Source organism: Homo sapiens, chromosome 8 (assembly GCF_000001405.40).
Source record: "Homo sapiens chromosome 8, GRCh38.p14 Primary Assembly".
NCBI classification, from domain to species: domain Eukaryota; kingdom Metazoa; phylum Chordata; class Mammalia; order Primates; family Hominidae; genus Homo; species Homo sapiens.
In genome coordinates, this window is record NC_000008.11 from 90,539,894 (window position 1) to 90,561,603 (window position 21,710).

Below are 21,710 nucleotides of genomic sequence, written 5' to 3' on the forward strand. Positions count from 1 at the left end.
TGAAACAGCTAATAGAGTAGAGATCTGCAACATTTTTCTGTAAACGTCCAGATGGAAACTATTTTAGGCTTTGCAGTCCATATTGTCTCTGTTGCAGTCAATACGTAAACTAATATGGCCATGTTCTAATAAAACTTTATCAAAACAGACAGTGGGTGGATTTGGGCAGTAGGCCATAGTTTGCTCATCTCTGTTATTGAGTATAAGTCTCACAAAGACTTTTTCTTCTTAGAATTAGCAGGGCCTCAGGCACGTTAGAATTGAACTTTAAAGCCCTTTGAACAGCAAGAAAATGTAAAGTTAAGGTTTGATCTTGATTAATTAACTACATAAAGGATTAATTCCCTGATCAAGTAAATTGTAAGTAAGACCTGAAACTAGCACAGTGCTGTGTTCTTCGGTGAGAAATAGGCACTGCAGGCATCTATTCCAAATTCTGATTTTTTTGTAAAATGTGCTAATATTGTATAGTTCAAAAGAAAATTTTTACATCCTTTCTTCAAGCAGATGTCAAGATTACTGACATCATTACTAGAAGCTAAACTGGCAATGAATGGTCAAGAAAAATTATCTTCAGAATTAGCCTAGGCAGAATCACACAATGTGTTGAAAACTCTTCCTCCCCAAAGATGAGCATAATTACCATGCCACTGATTCCCTCTCCTAGTACTGAAAGGAAACAAAACATGCTCTCCTCAGTAGCAGGCAAGAGAACATCCCTTACCTTTCTGCCAGATTCATATTTGCATTTCTGTTCAACTAGACTGTGCACTGCTTGGGGAAAGGAGCATAGATACCCAGGCCACATTGATGATCAGTATATATTTATGAATAAGTAAAGCCTGAATAATAATTTTCAACACATGATGAGGAAAACACAGGTGGATCATAGGGCTGCTGTCTGGAAGTCCATAGCTGAATCATTCTGTCACAGCACTTCCCCTATTTCTGGCAGTTAACCACAGAATAGAATAGCATCAAGACATTTTAAATTCAATCAAATGCTTATAAGTCACCTACCGTGTGTCAGTCACAGTGCAAATGCTGTGAATACAAGGAAAGGTGAATTTTCTGCTTCCTCCCACAGCATGTAGCCTACACTCAGAGGCTTAGTGCCCAAATTAGTCTCATAAGTATTCTAACAAAAACTGCCTAAGATTCATTTTTTAACTGTGATATTTTAATGAAAATGTATTTAGCTATATTTGGTGGTATTAGAAAGCACAAGTGAACAAATGTAATAACTCAGACTTCAAAAAGGAAGAAATACAAAATGAAAACTCATTGACATAAAGGCATTTTCCAGGTGCTCCACATGTGTTTATTAATGCTGTTTTATGAGATCAATTCACAAATTCAGCTATTCCTAAGTGAATACACATAATAAACTGTGGCAAAATATTAAACCAGTTTGTGAATATTAAAATTTTAACTGTTTTACTTATTTGCATGGAGATTTTCTCTGTTTGTTGGTTTTGGGGATACTAATACTGCATATAAAACAACCCCAAAAACATTGCAGTGGCCACCAACATAAGCTAAGGTATTATTCACACATCTAGAGATGGGCTGCAATGGTTCCACTTCAGGCTGAAAGTCATGTTTAGGTCGACTTCCTTTGTCTGTCATTGCAGGACCCAGGTCAAAGGGGCAGCAATCCCCTGAGACATTCCTTTCTCATTTTCCCATTCAGAGGCAGCAGTGAAAAAGGCCAAGTGAGTCAAATCATAACCATGGAAGTCCATAAAAAGCCCGAGAAAGCCTGGTGAAATCACAATCACTCATACTCCAATGCAAGGAACACAGTCAAGTCCAACATCAATGGAACAAGAATGTTTTCTTTTTGCATTAGAGAAGAGGAAAAGGAACAGTGAATATTTACTAAACAACAGTTGCAAAGTTAAAAGTGAAGTTCAAAATATAAAAGAAAAATTTTATTTGGAAGTTTCAAAAATACTTTACATATACAAAATCATAAACATCTAAGATAATCAAAGGCCAGGACTCCAGAGAAAGAGAAAGTGAGTGGTGACATAAGGAGGAAATCAGACAGGCTAATCTGTTCCAGCAGGGGCAGTTTTAATCCCTGTGGAATGCAATTTGAGCTTATCACCAGAGGAGAGCAAACAGCATATTTTTAAAAATTTCTGCTCCAAAAGACAACATTGAGGATAAAAACTTTCTTGGAGTTTTAGTTTTACTTTTTCAGCTTTAAGTTTTTTTTAAAGCTATGTTGTTGCTTGCAATAAATGTAATTACTGTGTTACTGACTAGTCCTATCCAGAAAGAACAAAGTCTAAAATTGTTACCATAAAAAATAAAACACTTTCTCTTCTGTTGATTTTAATTGGCAAATAAAAATAGAATATATTTATTGTGTACAACATGATGTTTTGAAATACGTACACATTGCGGAATGGCTCAACTGAGCTAATTAACATATCCATCACCTCATATGCTTACCATTTTTTATAGTAAGAACACTTAAAATATATTCTCCAGCAATTTTCAAAATATAATACAATGCTATAAACTATCATCACCATGTTGTACTATACTCTGTGAAATTTTTTTCTGAATAGATTTGGATAAAAATTTAACCAAAATTAAAATAAAGAACAAAACACATCATTTCCCAGAATTAAAAATAAGTACAGAGTTCACTACCCTGAAGCGATGGCTATGCTGTAAGGTAAAGAAAAGGAATTTTCTGAGATTAATCACAGCATATTTGTCCATTTCTGAAGAGCAACCCAGACCACTGAGAGCTACTAAATTATGTTACGAATAATCAGTGCTAAGGAATGAACAAAATAAGAGTTGAAAAAAGTTATCTTATAAATATCCACCAACAGTTTCTAGCAGAAATGCTCCAAGAAACTGAAAAAGCATCCCCAAGCCAAGTCACGTGAGAAATACATGTCTCCTTCCCTCTTGGATTAAGAAATCCTATTTTCTAGTTCAGCTCAGCAGGTATCTATTAAGCACTGTTCACTGATTTGGTGAACACTTACTCCATGCTTGCTAGGCACATGTTTTTGCTAAGTGCAGGGAATACAGATAGAAAATGCAAACCTTGCTCTTGAAAGCACTCTAGCCAGGTCAACAGCAAACAAATAATTATAACATACTGAGATAAGTGTGATGGGATTCTTTCTTAGTTTTGCTTCCCCCAAGAACCAGACCTAATACAAGGATTTGAGTGAACATTGTTTATTTGGGAGGTGAAGGAAACACCAGTTGGGAATTTAAAAAAAAAAAAAAGTGAGAAAGGAAGGAAAGGCCACCAATAATGGATGCAATATAAAGCAAGGTACTGCTGTGAGCCACTGCTGGGGAACTCAGCGTGACAGTGTGGAACACACACCTCAAAGTCTGGGAGGGCCATAAGCTTCCCAGCATTCTCCACCTGCATATGAGAAGCAAAGAGTGAGCTTCAGAAGGCCTTCAGGCAAAGAGAGGCAGTTGTTGGCTGTTAGAAGCTTGGTAGATATGCAGTACTTCCCATCACATGCACACATAAGTCCGAGGGCATGTAGACATCTGCTGCAGAAACATTAGCTTCATAGTCAATCCTGTCAGGAAAAGGAGGTGATTACCCTTGAGATCATAAGGTGTGTAAGACTCATGCAGGTTCAGAAAGAAGGAAAATGGTATTTCTGGCAGAAGGACAAGTGTGAGGGCATTCCAACCAGAAAATCTGAGGCACTTAGAGAAGTCACAAATCCTAGCATACAGAAGCATGCAAAGACAAGAGACAGGGGAGAGAACTGCTGAGAATTGAGGCTAGATGGGGAGGCAGGACAAAGAGTCAGCCTTGAACCCCATCCAAAGATCTGGATCCAGCATCATGAGATATTTGGGATGCATAGAAATAGGGATACACTATAAAGGATTATGGCACGACTTAAATAGCATAAACTCGGTGACAATCAGAACCTCTCTTGACTTTCAGATCTTTTGCTTGTAATTGAATGGCTTCAGTCAAGGAACTTGAGCCCCTACTCTGGTACTGGGGGCATATCAATGCACAGGAGACAAATGGAAGCCCTGCCTTCATTAGATTTGGGGGTGAGGGGTAACGTATAATTACATAAATAGTAAATAACAATTTTAAATAGAAGTATATTGATGAAAGGGCAGTGGGATAAAGAGTGACTGGGCTATGCAGCTAGACATATCAGGAAAGACTGGTCTGAAATGGGGACATTGAAGCTAAGAACCAAATAATGAGGAGGCAAAAAAGCTGAGGAAAAGGCATACTGTGTATGAGATATAGAAAATGAGACTATTCTAAAGCAGAGATCTGAAATGTGGCCTAAGATGTGGGCAGGAAGCAGATTACATTACGATAAGGAATTAGGAATTTCATCTAGGGATAATGGGAAGCCACTGGATGGTTTCAAGCAGTGGAGTGAAACGATAAAATATACAATTTTTAACTTACTCATGCTCCTCTCTGGAGAGTGGATCATAGGCATGCAAGCATGGAAACAGGGAGACCAGAGGGGAGGCTGTTGCAATAGTCTAAGGGAGAAATGAGGGTGGCCTGGGTCCACAGCTGTGGAGAAGGTGAGAAGTGGTTGGAATCCACTATTTTAGAGATTGTCAGGGCTTATTCACAAATGATGAGAAGGATGGTTGTTCATAAACAATGAGAAGGATGAGGAAAAGAGATGATTTGAAACTACTGAGTGAATGGTGGTTTGATTAATGTTCTGTGTCTTATGTTATCTAAATTTCATGTTATTATTGTGGAAAAAGGACTGCAATGTACAAACCCAGACTATAAAAGTCCTCAGTAGTCATAAGATATTAGCATCACTATTATTATTATGTCATGATGCAAAAGTAATTTGATGTATTGAAAATAATTCTAGGCCAACCCTGCCCGTTTTCCAGAATTAAGCATGATTGCTTGTGCCTCATCTCTTGTAACATCCCCTGTCTTACCTGTAGTTTCTCATGAACTCTTCCTCCACTTCCCCAGGTGATTATTTCTCATCTACCAGTCTGTTACTTAACCTCCTTAACTTTTCTTGGCTTCTCTTTTTCAGATGGCTCTACCCCATCCTCATATCTCTTGACTCATGAACTAAATCTGAGCCTCTGTTTGCTCTTTCTCCACTGATCAGCAACTTAACTCAGGCTGCCTTGACGAAATGCCATAGACTGGGTGGTTTAAACAACAGAAATTGATTTCTCACAGTTTTGGAGGCTGCACGTTTGAGATTATGGTGCCAGTGTGGTTGGGTTCTGGTGAGGGCCCTCATGTGGTGAGGTGGGTGAGCTCCTATCTTTCCCTTCTTTGTCATCCTATAAAGGCACTGATCCCATCATGGGGGCCCACCCTCATGACCTCATCTAAACCTAGTTACCTCCCAAAGGCCATATGTCCAAATACCATCACATTGTAGGGCAAGGCTTCAACGTATGAATTATACAGGGACAGAAACATTCAGTCCATCACAAAAGGGCATCATGGTAGTGACAACAGCATGAACAGCTGTGAGGGTGAGAAGGAACACTTTATTGTGTGTACCTTTACCATGAGCTCCCATTCTGCTGAACTGATGATAGGAAACTTAAAAGTCATGCAGAAGGCCCCCCAGTCTATGCCACATTTTGTATTTTATGCAGTGTCAAAGAGTTAAGTAGAGGATCTTTCTGGTTATTGGTCATTTCTCCACATAGGTTTCTTCTGAAGTGTCCATGTGAATGGCTCCATAACCCCCTCTTTGTGTTCTTTTCTTCCAGCCTTAGGGTGTCGTCAAAGAAAAATTACACTGAAAAAACTTAAATAGGCAAGGAAACTTTATTCGAGACTATGGCAATAGGGATCAAGACTATGACAATAGGGGAGAGATGTTGAACTCAACTTTGTTGGAATGAAAAGCAAGACAGCTTTTAAGCATTGGGGTGAGCTGCTGGAAAAGTATTGGAGGACCATTGAGTGGGGAGATTGACAAATGTGATTAGGCCTTTGGTATTTTCTCACTGGCGTGATATAAGTCAGGCCCCTACCCTCCTACAAAGATGAGGAGATAGGACCCTATCTTTCTTGATGATTACATTTCAAGGGGATGACTCACAGGTCCTTGAAAATTACATTCTTTGGGTGTAAAACTAGCAAGAGGCTGAGAGATTTATATCTCAAAGGGGCAGAAAAATAACTTGAAATTGCAAGTTTTCTAGGGCAAATGCGCTAAGAAAAAAGATGCCGGGGACTTAACAGTCAGAAAGAAACCTATCTGAAATATAGTCAGGCTGCAGGGAAGAATGAAGGCATCTTGGTCAATGTGGAGGATCTGTTTAAGGTCCTATAAGTCTTGGTCCTGGCAGTATCAGGCACTCTTCTCTGGAGTCTTTCAGCTTCCCAGGAGTTTGCGCCAGGGAAAAGTGTTACGAGTACCCTGCTCCAGTGCTTCAGCCCTCTGTCCATCAACCCTAGTGAGGGAGTTCTCTTTTTCTTTTTTTGTTTTGAGACGGAGTCCTGCTCTTTAGCCCAGACCGGATTGCAATGGCACAATCTTGGCTCACTGCAAGCTCCGCCTCCCAGGTTCACGCCATTCTCCTGCCTCAGCCTCCCGAGTAGCTGGGACTACAGGCGCCCGCCACCGCGCCCGGCTAATTTTTTGTATTTTTAGTAGAGACGGGGTTTCACCGTGTTAGCCAAGATGGTCTCGATCTCCTGACCTTGTGATCCGCCCGCCTCGGCCTCCCAAAGTGCTGGGATTACAGGCGTGAGCCACCGCGCCCAGCCTCTCTTTTTCTTTATAGGCAGGGGCATAAGGGCTTGGAGGAGTGGGCTCCTGTCTACTTCCCTTTTCTTCCAAGTCACTCTGCTTCTTTGGGAAATATCTCTATTCTTTTTGTTTGTTTCCTAATTGACCTCAGTGGCCCATTACAAGGAAAATCAACCAACAAAAAATGAGTTTCTTTTTCATCAAGGATTGGAAGAAGGAATTTTCAAACCCTCCCAGTGAGTGGAGGGTAAGGAGGAAATTTTACATTTTGACTTCCCAATGTAGAAAAAAAAAAAAAGAAGAGGGAAAATGAAAAACAGTGCTAAGTTTTCATACTTAAACAATTATGTTCATACTCTGGCACAAAGATAATGTACTTCATAGAATGGTTGTGAGTTTAATGGGAAAATTCATATTTCTGGAAGAAATTCTGACTCTTAAGTACTCATTAAATAAGCTCCTTTCTCTCTCCTACACTTTCATTAAGAAATGAAGTATTACCTGTATGTTGGTAAAACACAGAGTGCCTTTTCCAAGATCTTTCTAAACCCTTTCTCTTCTGAATTTCAAACTTTAGCCCATGAATCTTTACAAAATTCTACAGAAATAAAATTGTTGATCAAATTTCAACATTTAGAACAAAAGAAAAAGTACCACCCTTTAATTTTTCAGTGGAAAGGGCTTGTGGGTCAGCCTTATCATTACCAAGTTCATTTATTACTGCTATGAGGCAGTTGAGCTTGCAGTGTTAATTAACTCTATGAGGGGATATATATCACTGTTGCCCTAGAAAATAACGGTAGGCACTGTGAGGTACTGTCACCCACTGGTGCTCCACCTAAGCTCATCTTCATGTTCATAGCTCCACTATGACCTAGAAACCACTCTTTTCCTGATTTAGGGCTAAACTAAACAGCAGATAATGTGGATGTGAGAATTGTGACTATATATATAAGATATATATGAGATATATAATGCATATATATATATATATATATATATATATATATATATATATATATATTAGTTTCTCACTTTTAGGTAAAGATAAGGGAATCAGGGTACAGAGGGAAGTACTTAGACTTTTAGATTCTACTTGGTCCACAGTAAGCGTCCCATGATGTTATGTCCCTACTCTTCCGATGATACATGGGCAGATTCCAAGTATTCCGAAATTGTTCACTTGCATCTCCTTCCTTTCCTCATTTTGTTTTCATATTTGTCCCCTGCTTGCTGTGCATGTGCATAGATTATGAGAACTGTGATTCCACTGATTGAGGCTGCTGTTGCCTGGTAGGGTTCAAAGGCAGCAGCAGTGGTGCTGGAACTGCATATTCATTCTGTCACATTCTTCTTGTTTCTACTCCATGTACACAGCTCTATACCACAGAGTCTGAACCCAGACTGCTTGTTTCCATTGTTTAGATTCTGGCATCTATTCCTCCTGCCCTGGGGATGATGAATAATTGAAAACTGAACATGAGCTTAATTTGGTATGCCTTGGAAGTGGTTTTTTATGCTGATTTGGTTTTGTGTTCTCTGAAACATCAAGGGCCAGGCTCCCATGTCAGGAATAATTACTATACCCCATATGTGACACACCTCAAAAATGAACAGGGGACACAGATGACTTCCTACATCATTAGGAATAGTTTTAGATATCTTAATAAATGTCAAGAATGATAAAGAGAATTTTATAGCCCTCTTTTTGGGAAAATATATCTTTTCTAACTATTTTGGAAATAAATGTTTTCATTTTACAAGGGATTGTAGAAAATTATGTCCAAAACTCTATGCTCCTTGTATCATTCAATTGCTTTCCCTAGATAATCAGTCATGGTAGAACCTTCATTAATAGGAATACCAAAGATGCTCACACTTCTCTGCTACTGTATTACAGAATGCACCTGAAACTGGAGGTCATCATGTTAAGTGAAATAAGCCAGGCATAGAAAAACAAATATCACATGTTCTCACTTATTTGTGGGACCTAAAAATCAAAACAATTGAACTCATGGAGATAGAGAATAGAAGGATGGTTGCTGGAGGATGGGGAGGGTAGCGGAGAGGATGGAGGAGAGGTGGGGTTGGTTAATGGGCACACAAAAAAATAGAAAAAAATGAATGACCTAGTATTTGATAGCATAACAAGGGAACTATAGTAAATAATAAATTAATTGTACACTTAAAAATAACTAAAAGGATATAATTGGATTGTTTCTAATACCAAGGATAAATGCTTGAGGGGCTGGATACCCAATTTTCCATGACATGATTTTTACGCATTGCATTCCTGTACCAAAATATCTCATGTATCCCATAAATACATACATACACCCACTATGTACCCCCCAAAATCTAAAATTAAAAAAATTTTTTTAAAAGAATGCAGCTGAAATGCACTACTCCCCACTGCCCTACACAAAATTTATATGCTTAAGTTTCTCCAGCACTTCAGAATGTGGCCATATTTACAGACATGATCTTTACAGATGTAGTTAGGTTAAAATTAAGTCATTAGAGTGAGCCCTAATCCAGTATGACTGGTACCTTTATAAAAAGAGGAAATTTGGACAGTCACCTAACAGAAGGATGATGATGTGAACATAACAGGGAGAAGACAGCCATCTATAAGCCAAGGAAAGAAGCCTGGAATAGACAGACCATTCCTTTATGGCTTAACATCTTGATCTCAGACTTCAAGTCTTCAGAAATGTGAAAAAATACATTTCCGATTTTTAAGCCACCCAGTGTCTGATACCATGTTATTGCAGCCCTAGCAAACTAACACAGCATTCTTCTGTCAACCCAAGGCAGGAACACCTAGGCCTAGCTGACTCCATCCCTCCTGTTCACAGCTGATTGCACCAGAGGAGTACACCTAATCCAAGAGAGCAAAACCACTGACTGTCCAGCAGCCAATAAGAGTTTCTCAAAAATCTGAACCAAAAGGCAAAGCTGAAAAGGAGGACGTTGTCTTTAAGGGCAGAGCACTGTAGTGGGTCTTGCTTCTATGTGGGCCGTTTGTTGGGCTCGGTGGTTGTTCCCCTCTTTTTTGTTTGTTTGTTTGTTTGGGATTCTACATAGTCTGTGGCCTTAACATAAGCTGGAGTAAAAAATTTCGAAGAATTCTTACCTCAGAAAATAGAAGTAAGTCAAGAAGGGACCAGATGCAAGCCAAGAGAAAGGTGAAAGGGGGAAGAGAGGAGAAAAATGAGAAAGGGAGAATAAACATGTCACTGCCTTGATTGTGAAGCCAAAATTCATCCACTCATTCATTCTACAGAGGCCCTGTGCTAGGCCCTGGGCCAGATGCTGGTAACCCAGTAATAACTAAGACTTAGTTTCCATATCCAAGAAGCTTAAGGTCTAGAAATATTCGGCTTATTGGTTATTTTGAACTTGCCTTACCTCTATCGCCTTTGATTACAATAGATCAGTTAACAATAATTTCTCCCTCATTATGTCCAGCTGTGTTTTTAAATAAATGACTCATTCTTGCCTGTATGTCTGCATATATATATATACATATATATATGTAATTTTTTCTGCTATTCTTATTATTTATTATAAACTCTATGACGGAAGCAGTGTCCACATAGTTATGAGAGAAAATAAGTCAGAAAAATTAACTTTCCTTCTATTTCTTATGTTTAACGATGGCTCTAGAAAAATAAATCCTGGAACCAAGAAAGCATATTATTTTAATATCCCTCTCTCCTTTTATACCTCTTTCTTATCTCTTACTTCCTCTCTCTCCAGGTTCTAAGCCTGTCTGAGAATCACTTCCAGGCTTGATCCCTGATCCATGACGTATACCATGCTCCAAATTTTTTATTCCTCCTTCCATCTTCTCCACTTTAGCAGTAAAAACCTCCAATAAATTCAGTGCAAGTGAATTAGCTGGTGTCAGGAAAAGTGTAATCAGATGGAACTCAAATGTATGAATGTTTTTGACTAATAATACTTTTACCCTCCCTATAGGTTTTCTGGTCTTTCAAAGAAGATACTTATTAATGTAAATTACTGTCCAACCTTTAGAATTACAGGCAGTGTAGAAAAATGAGATTTTAAAATTCTAAAGATATGTGTACAATGGACCACCAAAAGAGCAGGAAAATTCCCTATCGGATTCTATCCCTAGTGTCCACATCCCTAACTGCCTCTTCATTCAGTTTGTCTTCTTCCATTCCTTAGTCAGAGACTCTTTGCAAGATTCTTTGCAAAATCCAGGGTTTTGTGGGATTTATTTTTCTTAAAGGAGGTGAGGTGAAGTTACAAGAGAAATGTGGAACAGGAGTAGCTGTCTTCTATATAGGTCAACTAACTTAATCATCCTTTTATTCCTTTTTATTTAAGAAGTATGTATTAAGAGCCTACCTTGTTGTCTTTTCCATACTTGGGATACAAGTAACCAGTATGGAAATTGGTTACTTGGGATACAGTATCACAAAGCCTCTGCCTTTGTAATACTCACTTTTGGGAGCATGCAGGGTTCATAAAGCTACATGATCTGGCCAAGGTTTATCACTGCAGGAGTATGAAGTGCACATCAGGGAAGAGTGGCTCATGGCAGATGAGATAATAAAAACAGTGTTCAAAGCTAAGACATGCATGGTGCTTGCTATGTGCCAGGTGACAGTATGTCCTTTACATACAACTCACATATAATTATTTTGTTCTCAAAAGACTCTAGGAATTAGATACTATTGTTACCATCATCATTCTTGTTTTACAAATGAGGAAACTGAAACACAAAATAATGAGAGCCATAGAGCTGGTTATTGATGAAGTTGGGATGTAGACACAGGCATCTGGCTGCCGAATCTATATGCTTCTCCACCACCCTACTGCTGGCATGAGATTGTTTTATGTAAGTTGAATTTTAAAATCAGAAACTTTAAATACAATGCCATTAGACTGAAACTAATCTTGTGAAATCCTCTAGGATTCTAAGTGGGAAATGTAGACATGCTATATTTTTGTGAAATTATTGCAGTGATATTTATAATCAAAACTGGAAACTAAAAACCATCCCTTTCTGAACTGTTAGAAAAGCAGATTAATATGTAAAGTGGTAAAGAAAAGCAATTTTTAAAAATTTGTCCAGTTCTGTCACTAACCTACTGCATGTCTAAGGGTTAGATCACATCAACTCTCCAGACTTGAAATTCCTCATATGGTGGGTGATCACATAATTAATTGTCCAAATGGGGACACTTAGCAATGAAGGGGGGCCCTATTAATAATTACACTGGGACGATATTGCCAGGCAAACCACAGTAGATTGTTGTTCAACTTATGTATCGAAATGAGGCTACAAGAGCTGATCCCTAAATTCACTTCTAGTTGTAGTGGGTGTGTTTGTGTTTGTTTGACCGACTGTTTGTCCAAAGTATTAGGATCATTTAGTAAGAGGCAGAAGGAAAACTCAGAGGTCTGACTTAACCCCGTAATGGTTAACAAGGTCTGTGCTAGATTAGGACATTTTTATTCTAGTAAATAAAGTAATAACTACAGCAATTTATAAACTGACCACATTTATATTAAATTGAAATTGTGCAAGAGAAAACAAATGCAAGTTAATTCCAAGTAGGCTTAATGCCCAGACAATCAGTACTGCAAAAATAAAACAAAACAAAACCAATGCCCAAGAAAGGCTGCCAATTAGAAAGAAAGAATTAATTTAATTCAAAACATTTTTTAATTTTGAGTCCTCAAGACTAAACAGCTAACTTGGGTACCTCCAACCAGTATGACACTGAGAACAATGTGACCTGATTTAAAGGAATTTTGAGTTTGTACAAAGAGCATTGGCAAGAGATCTTAGAGTCTTCATTCATGTATTCATTTAACGGATTGGCAAGAGCTTGTTATGTGCCAAACATTGCTATGGGCTGATGATACAACTAAGTAAAAACATAACCCTTGCCTGGAGGAAATATCAGTCTGATCTTGACACTGCCATATAAGTGCAGTGAGGCTTTGGATATGTCATTTAACTTTTCTGAGTCTCGGTTTCCTTAAAGTAAAATGAGGGAACTAAAAATGCATGATCACTAAAAATCGTCATTTGGCTAGTTAAATTTTATGAACTCAGAAGTTCTGTCTGGATAAATGTTAGCCTTTATCTGGTTTCATTATATTAGATAATAATGTTAGGAAAGTTTTGAAAATACAATAGGCATGCTTCTGTTTGTTTCCATAGTCATTCTGTTGAAAAAAAGAGATGTTTTCCTTTCCCCCATAATTTTCCCTTTGTTCACTCTCTTCAGGCCACATTTTCCATGTGGTTGTTTATCAGTATGTGCTATGGTCTGAATGTGTCCCCCAGAAAGCAGGTGTTGGAATTTAATCCCCAATGCAACAGTGTTGGGAGAGAAGCCTAATGGGAGGTTTGGATCATGAGGGCTTGGCTCTCAAGAATGGATTAACGCTGATTATAAAGGTGGTTTGCCAGATTCCAGCCCCTCAATCTTGAACTTCCCAGCCTCCAGAACCATGAGTCCGTCAATTTCTGTTCATTTTAAATTACCTAGTTCAAGATATTCTGTTATAAGCATCACAAAATGGACTAAAACAGCCTTTAAGTATGCAGTTTCAGAATACGCTATACCAGTGGTCTTCAAATGTTGACAGCTACGCCTCACCTCCAGAGTTTCTGTTTTAGTAGGTCTGATGTGGCAGATTAAAATGACCAACTATCCCACGTTTCCTGGGACTATCAAGTTTTAGCACTAAAAGTCTTTTCTCTCTCCAGCCTCCCCTCTTTTTTTTTTTGGATACAGAGTCTTATTCTGTTGCCCAACCTGAAGTGTAGTGACATGATTATGGCTCACTGCAAGCTTCAAACTCTTGGACTCAAGGGAACCTCTCAGCTCAGCCTCCCAAGTAGCTGGGACTACAGGTGCACACCACAATGCCTGGCTATTTTTTTAAAAAAAATTTTGTAGAGATAGGGGTCTTGCTATTTTGCTCAGGCTGGGGCTGGTGCTGAGCTCCTAGGCTCAAGCAATCTTCCTGCCTTGGTCTCCCAAAGTGCTGGGATTATACATGTGTGCCACCTTGCCCAGCTTTTTTATCTCAAGAAACTCTTCAGTCTCAGGTAAGCCAGTCTAGTTGTTCACCCAAGGTACAGCATAAGAATTTGCATTTTTAACAAGTTCCCAAATGATACATATACTGCTGATCCAGGGGCCACATATTGAGAACTACTGCTCTATACCTATGGTTCTCATCCTTGGCTGTCCATTAGAATTATTTGAGGAGTGTAAAAACAATATTTATTCTGATCTAACTGATCTCAGGTGCAGCCAGGTAATTGTCCTTTTTAAAAGCTTCTCAGGTGATTCTAGAGTACAGCCAAATTTAAGAACCACTGCTCTAGATCCATGAAGCTAATCACTGAACACTTTGACTCTGTCCTGTTAACATCCTGTAATTGCATCGTCTTGTCATCTTTACTGCCCTTGCTCTGATTCAAGACATCGTTTCCTGCTTGCACGGTTGCACTGATCACATGACTGACTTCCCTCCCTTCAAGTTTCTCACACCATCTCTACTTCATGCTTTCCGCAGCTGCTGGAGGAATCTTACTAACATAAAAACTTGATTATATTACTCCCTTGCTGAGGATCTGATGGACTTTCTTGTATTAACGTAATTCATGTTATCTGCTCTAAAAAGCAATTGCCAAATCCCAGCCACTTACCACAACAGAGATTTCTTTGGCATGCCATAGTCCAATGGCTGTTCTCCTGAACAATTCTTCTTCCAGAACTGTGGTGACAGCAATTCTCCCATTCTGTAGCTTCATGATCCCTAGGGCTTCCTTGGAGTCCTCCCTTGCATCACTTCTATTTAGTTAACTGAGAGATGAATGGACAGAATGTGGAGCATGACACAGGATATTTAGAGGCTGGGCTCTGAGGTCATATACATCACTTCTGCACATATTCCGTTGGCAGAAAAAAACCTTGTGGCCCCAGCTAGATGCCAGGTGATCTGGAGAATGTCTTGTTGTGTGCCTAGAATGAAAATGAAATAGCACAGTGACTATAAAGTATTATCTCTGTTACAATTTTTATCAGAGTAATACAAACTCAAACACATTGTGGGTAATTTATTGGGTTGTATTACACATAAAAATTACTCCTCATTGCCTTCAGTATAAAGTCCCAAGTCCTGTGCTTGACCTTCAGTGATCTTAAGATTCTATTCCTGACTCACTTTTCAGACTCAGCTTTTGGTGCTTTTCACAGGCATTCCCTGTCCTTATTCCCAAAATGTCCCATGCTGTCATGCCAATTTGGGGGTCTGAAAAACCTTTCCCCATTTCTTCACTTAACTCTTTCCTACTAGCTTCTCAGAGCTCAGTTCAAGAGTCAACTCAGAAAGCTTTTTCTGAATCTCCATCACCTTCTGCTTCCCAATTTGAAATTGTTGCTCTTGTTCTCCATTCTAATAGCCCCTGGCATTCCACACTCATAGACCTCACTCCATTGTATACCTTTGACATGGTCCAGAACATTTTGATTGTGAGCATCTTGTGGGTGACAAAATTGCTTTTTCTCATTGTGCTTAATACTACATGATACCTGGCGTGTAGCAGACATTGAATAAATGCTTGTTTAAATAAATGAATGACTGTTTAAAGACAATTTTAAAAAAACCCTTATATCATATTACAGAGTAGTCAAGATGGTTTCCATTGCAATTTGATAGGTGTAAGCAAAGAGTCCCCTACTTCAGACACTTGTGTGTGTTGAACTATTGAATATCCCTTTCATATTGCAAATGGGGCACTGTATTAAACATATATTCACCATTAAACACAGCCTTTCTTGGATTGGTTTCTCAGTTTGCACATCAAATTGTTATGCAGACTCCATCAGAATAGGACCCAGAAGAAGTGTTTTAGTAAGAGCTGAGATTTTAAAACTTAAAAATATATTCAGATTATGGGCTATTTAATGAACAAAGACCTGGATTTTATACCACGCTGGAGGTCTTAGATAGCCAGATATAGCATAAAAACATAGGACTGAGGCCCAAAGGACACACGAATAAGTGGTAAGGACAGAGGGGCAGGGCAAGATAGCAGAATAGAGACCTCCACCAATTGCACCCCCAATAAGGACACCAACTTAACAACTATCTACGCCAAAAAAAGCACTTTCATAAGAACCAAAAATCAGGTGAGCACCCACAGTCAGTACCTGGTTTTAACTTCATATCACTGAAAGAAGCACTAAAGAGATAGGAAAAACAATCTTGAATCACCAACGCCACCCCTTCCCCATCTCCCCACAGTGGCAATGAGGTGCAGACAGCATTTTGCCATGCTGGGGTGAGGAAGACACAGCATTTATGAGGCATTGAACTCATTGTTGCCATATTATAACAGAAAACAAAACTAAACCAAACTCAGCTGACACTCACCCGTGGAGGGAGCATTTAAACCATCCCTAACCAGAGGGGTATCACTGATCCCAGTGGCCCAAACGTCAGTTCCTACAAACCTCACTACAGTGGGCTAAAGTACTCTGGAGTTCTACCTAAACTAAAAAGACAATCTAGGTGACATGGACAGGAAATCCTTGGTAAGTCCTAATGTTAAACTGGGCCCAGAGACAATAAACTGGGGTGGGGGGGGCACGCCACCTACAGAGACACCAGAGGGGTGGCTAAGGGAGTGCTGGCATTACCACTCCCCTAACCCCAAGCTGCACAGCTCATAGCTTTAAAAGAGACCTTTTCCCTCTGCTTGAGGAAAGGAGAGAAAAGAGTGGGGGAAGACTTTGTCTTGCATCATGGATACCAGCTCAGACACAGCTCAGAGTGAACTGTAATTACTTTGAGAGGTTGAGGCAGGCAGATCACTTGAGGTCAGGAGTTCGAGACCAGCCTGACCAACATGGTGAAACCCCGTCTCTACTAAAAATACAAAAATTAGCCGAGCATGGTGGTACACACCTGTAATCCCAGCTACTTGAGAGGCTGAGGCAGCAGAATCACTTGAACCCGGGAGGCAGAGGTTGTAGTGAACCAAGATGGCGCCATTGCACTCCAGCCTGGGCAACTGAATGAGACTCTGTCTCAAAAATAAATAAATAAATAACTTTATGGTATGTGAATTGTATCTCAATAAATCTGTTTTTATAATATACATATATATGTATGTATATCTATTAGACAAATCTCAACTTTCATTGTTTTTTCCCTCGAACAGCGCTTTGGATTATATTTTAATAGTTATAAATGCAGTGGCCTGATGACCTTAACAAGGGCTCAGCTAGCTCCACTAACTAGTCAACTACCCAGTAGCAGCACCAGGCAAAGTTGTCATCTTCCAGTGGAAATCACCTTTATTTTTCTTAGCATTGATCTGTTGTATGCCATCCTGTAAATATATAATGCATAATTATCTTCCCTTGTTTGCATTTTTAGCATGAGAGATGGCCAGAGCTTATATCAGAAAGATAATTCCAAGATTCTTTCCCATTTTCATCCACCATCTTCTGGGATATAGTTGGCATGGAGAGATAGCAATGTATATGTGACTATATAAAAATATATTTCTGGAATATTTCCATTTGCCTTTCTATATCCATTCTCTACTCCTCTTGACTCTGGGAGCTGACCTTTACTAACTGTGTCTACAAGTTCCCTTATCTCTTCTGACTAGGTTTGTTCATAGGCTGCATGAACAGTGAATCAGAGGTTGGAGAAAAGGTTCTGTACAATTGTCCAACTGGTTCCCTCCCTGTGGGTTACAACAGGTAAGATGCCTCTCTACAGAAGTCCACACGTCCAGTAGGTTGACCTCTAGGTTGCAGGAAGTTACCTCCAGTTACTCAGCAAGTTTGCATTAATTGCTCCTTCTAGGATTGATGTCGGTTCCATGCAATTGCTAGCCCCATAGTGTTTTATTACCTCTCATTGGTTTCCCTTACTAGAGTAAATAGTCTCTTAAACATTGGAAATGCCTCTTTACTGAAGTTTCCAGCTGGAGAATGCCCTTTCTTTCCTACAGGGCTCTGACTGATACAGTGTCTGACTAACAACAGATAGTTGATATTTAGCAGCCAGTTGAAAGGCTGCAAATAGACTCTATACTTAATCTCTTTTCATAAACTACAAATGCTTAAAAAGTTACTTATGACCAATGCAAAAGTGTCATATATTTAATACTATTTGGAAGACCTTTCCAGGTGCATAATGCCAATCCACAATTCAATCCCTCCTGGCAAATGATGTTATAAATAAGAGGGAGAGAGTTTAAATTAGTGCTCTCTAGATTCAGAGTTAGGGGTTAGGAGCATTACACATAGAATTGAAATCTCCAGTTCCATAAAAAGTGCCCAACATTCTCTTAATATAGCTTTTGGAATACTATTGACTGAATGAAATTTTGAGGTCTCAGAAGTTGAACATTCACATGGCCATCCTAAGAGCCCTGTCTGACATGTCTCTGTTTAGTCAACATGTCTCCATTTAATTACCACCATGAGTGAATTTACCAAAAGAAAATAAGCTATGGGTGACATGCCAACCTCCCACTTACTAGCTGTCTCTACTAGAGAGATTAAAAAGTTAATCTCTCTAAACCTCAGCTTTCTGAAATTAAAGAGGATAACAATTTTTACATCATGGATTCTTGTAAGATACAAATGAATTAGTAAATCTAAGTGTTTACCACAGTAACTCATAAAAAGCACTAAGTGAATGGTGACTATCCTGTCATGCATCTCTCTTTTCCTCATAATAAACTGTTATGTAACAATTTATTACATAACAGAGCACAGTAAATTTTCTTTTGTGCCCATCAGCTTCCAGGCTACCATGTCTGTTCCCACAGTCATTGTATTTATTTCTGGGAATGGCATTCCAGTTGAGAGTCCAGAAAGTGTAGAATAGGAAGCAACTTTGGACATGATATAGTCCAACCTGCTCAATTTAATGATGAGAAATCCAGGACCCAGATGAGTGAAATGGCCTATGGGCTCACTGATGCAGCAACCACGCAGGAGCTAGCAGCAGCGCTTCCATTTCCCATGCAGTTGCCCTGTTCACCACACAGTGGGGATGCCCGCAGAAATGTTTTCTGAGAGTATAGCTTCTGCCCTGAATCCCAGATCTCTCTTTGGGACACACTGCTTGGTCTTTCATGCATATGGCCTGGTAAAGGTTCCAATCCTGTTCTCACCACCACCAACACCACCACAACCCACTAACTCAAACTGGACATTATAACATTCCAAGACAGGTGCTAAGAGCTCTGCTTACAACTCTCCAAGATGCAAGCTCAAGTCAGAGCTCTAATTTAGGCTTAAATTAACTGAATGATATTTTGAAATAAATAATTTTCTCCTGCCTTCAGGGCAAAGAAATCAGATGCACGAAGGGTAAAGACCCTGGTGAAAATCACCAGACACAAAAGGTCACAGATCATACGATTCACTTTATATGGAATATCCAGAATAAGTAAATCTAGAGATATTGAAAATAGAGTAGTGGTTGTTAGGGCTGGAGGAAGGGGAAATAGGCATAGATTTTGCTTTTGGAGAGAGGAAAATGTTGTGGAACTAGATAAAGGTGATGGTTATGTGTATAAAGATACTGAATGCCCCTGAATTGTATACTTTAAAATTTTTAATTTTATGTTATGTGAACTTGATTTCAATTTTTAAAAATCACATGAATACAAGTATATTATTGCTTGCCAATGATATCATGCAATCTCAATGACCTAGTCTGAAAACTCTTTCACACTGATTGCTTTTGTCTTCTCTTCTAGTCTGTGCCCGCTTAACAATTTTATTTTTACCAAGCTGTGCTCAAAAATCTTTGCTTGCTGAATGTTTCTTCGAGGAGTCATTTTTTTTCCTTCTGTAAATGATTCCTTCAAGATACCAAGTGTTTCATTCAACTGATATATTCAGGAGAGATACTGATCCATAATTTTTTTTTTTCTTGTAATGTCCCTCTCTGGTTTAGTTACCACGATTATGCTGGTTTACTAAAATAAATTGGGAATTCTTTTTTCTCTATTTTCTGAAAGAGTTTACAGAAGACTTATATTACTTTTTTCTACTATATTTTGTAGAATATACCAGCAAAGCAATTTGGGCCTGGAATTTTCTTTTTTGGAAAAGCTTTTATTATAAATTCAACCTCTGTAATAAATACAGATTTTCATTAAACAGATCAATATTTGCTTTTACTTCTTTTCTCAATTTTACTAACTTGTAACTTTGTTAGCATTCTTATTCATTTTGAAAAATTTTAATAATTTTCTTATTATTTCTTCTTGATTCATGGATTATTTGTAAACATGTTATTTAATTTCAAAATACTTTAGGATTTTTCCAGGAATTTTTTTTTTTTTTTGCTATTGATTTCTATTTTAACTGTGTTGTGGTCAGAAAATAAACTTGTATTATTTCAATCTTATATAAGCTAGATAATACCATCAAAATCAGGAAGGTGATACTGACATATCGCTACCATTGAATACTCAGGGCCAATTTTCAATTGTTCCAGTAATACCTTTACAGAATGAGGACTCAGTTGAGAAACAGTCATTACATTATTTTTAGTCATTTTTTTTTAGTCTGCTTTAGTCTGGAAAATTTTCTCAAAATTTCCTTGATTTTCATGAGCTTGACACTTTTGGCATTTACAGGCCAATTATTTTGTAGAAAGCCCCCTGGTTTGGACCTGTCTAATGCTTGTTCCTCATTACATTTGGGTGCTATGTCTTTGGCAGGAATATCAGAGGTAGTACTGTGTTCTTGTTGCTTCCTATCAGAGAGTGCACAAGATCAATTGTTTCCTCCTCTCATGATGTGCACTTTGATCGCTTGTTTAGGATCCTGTCTGCCAGGTGACATTACTCTTTCCAATTTGTAATTAATATGTATTTTGTGAGAAGTTACTTTGAAACTACGCAAATATGCTATTCTTCACTAAACTTTTTATTGATTCACTAATTTATTTACATCTTTATGGTCTCATGGTTTCTTATTTAATTCAATGAGCTAAAATGTATTACTGACTACATTTATTTTCACAGTCAAATTATCCCTGCTTAGACCAGTAGGAGCTTTTGCAGTTTTTGAGAGGGTCTCTGTCTCTCTCTCTCTCTCTCTTCTCTCTCTCTTTTTATTGTCATTAAGCTTTTGCATTCTTTGACATTTTGTTACTTTTTGGCACAATAAGATAACTTAGGCTTGTGTTGTACTTTTCCTGATCCAGCCCCGAAATTGACCATTCTTTTAGGAAGCCCTAGTTCCTTTTAGATGAAAATGGTAGTTGGAAGACAAGATTTAGGCTCTAGTTATGCTAATCAGAATTGGATTATTGCTGCTCCCAATCCCACTCAGTAGATAAGACTGAAAAATATATATGTATATACAAACACATATTTACATCTACATTTATTTCTATATTATAAACCATGAGCTCACATTAAAACCTGAATTCCAATCCAACACTCTAGAATTCATCCCAGATTTTCCACTGTCTGAACTCCCCATCAGCTTAGTGAGACCTCCATGATCTGCTTGGATTCTATAACCCCCGCTTTGGTCCAAAAACTGCTTCCAGACAAAAGAATAGAATGATTGTTGACTCACTTAGGTAGGTGTTTCTTCTTTCTTAGGGAACATGGTCCTGTGTGGCCTATATCTAAAGTCTGAAAGAGTTGCTTTATGTATTTGATCTGGTTTCATTTTAGTTTACAGCAGGAGGGTGGATTCACAATCACTTACTCCCTCATTGCTGGACAGGAAAGAATATCACATTAAATGTTCACAGTACTCATGTTAATATATCAAACATGGCTCACACAGACTGTTACAACAATCCAGGCAATAAATCTATGACATCTGTACTTGACAAAGCACAGAGGAAGAGATCCGAAGACAGCCACGCCTATGTCAACTTTACTTTTTTCTACTG

At 38.5% G+C, this 21,710-nt stretch overlaps 1 long non-coding RNA gene across 2 annotated transcripts in view; it reads right to left on the bottom strand.

Moving 5' to 3' along the window:
• The window catches only part of LOC124901975 (uncharacterized), a 267,232-nt gene that overhangs the window by 244,785 nt on the left and 737 nt on the right, over positions 1 to 21,710 (bottom strand). For both annotated transcript variants that reach the window (XR_007061002.1, XR_007061003.1), the window contains exon 2: positions 14,458 to 14,773. This is a non-coding gene — a long non-coding RNA (uncharacterized LOC124901975). The remainder of the gene's footprint in view (positions 1 to 14,457; positions 14,774 to 21,710) is intronic.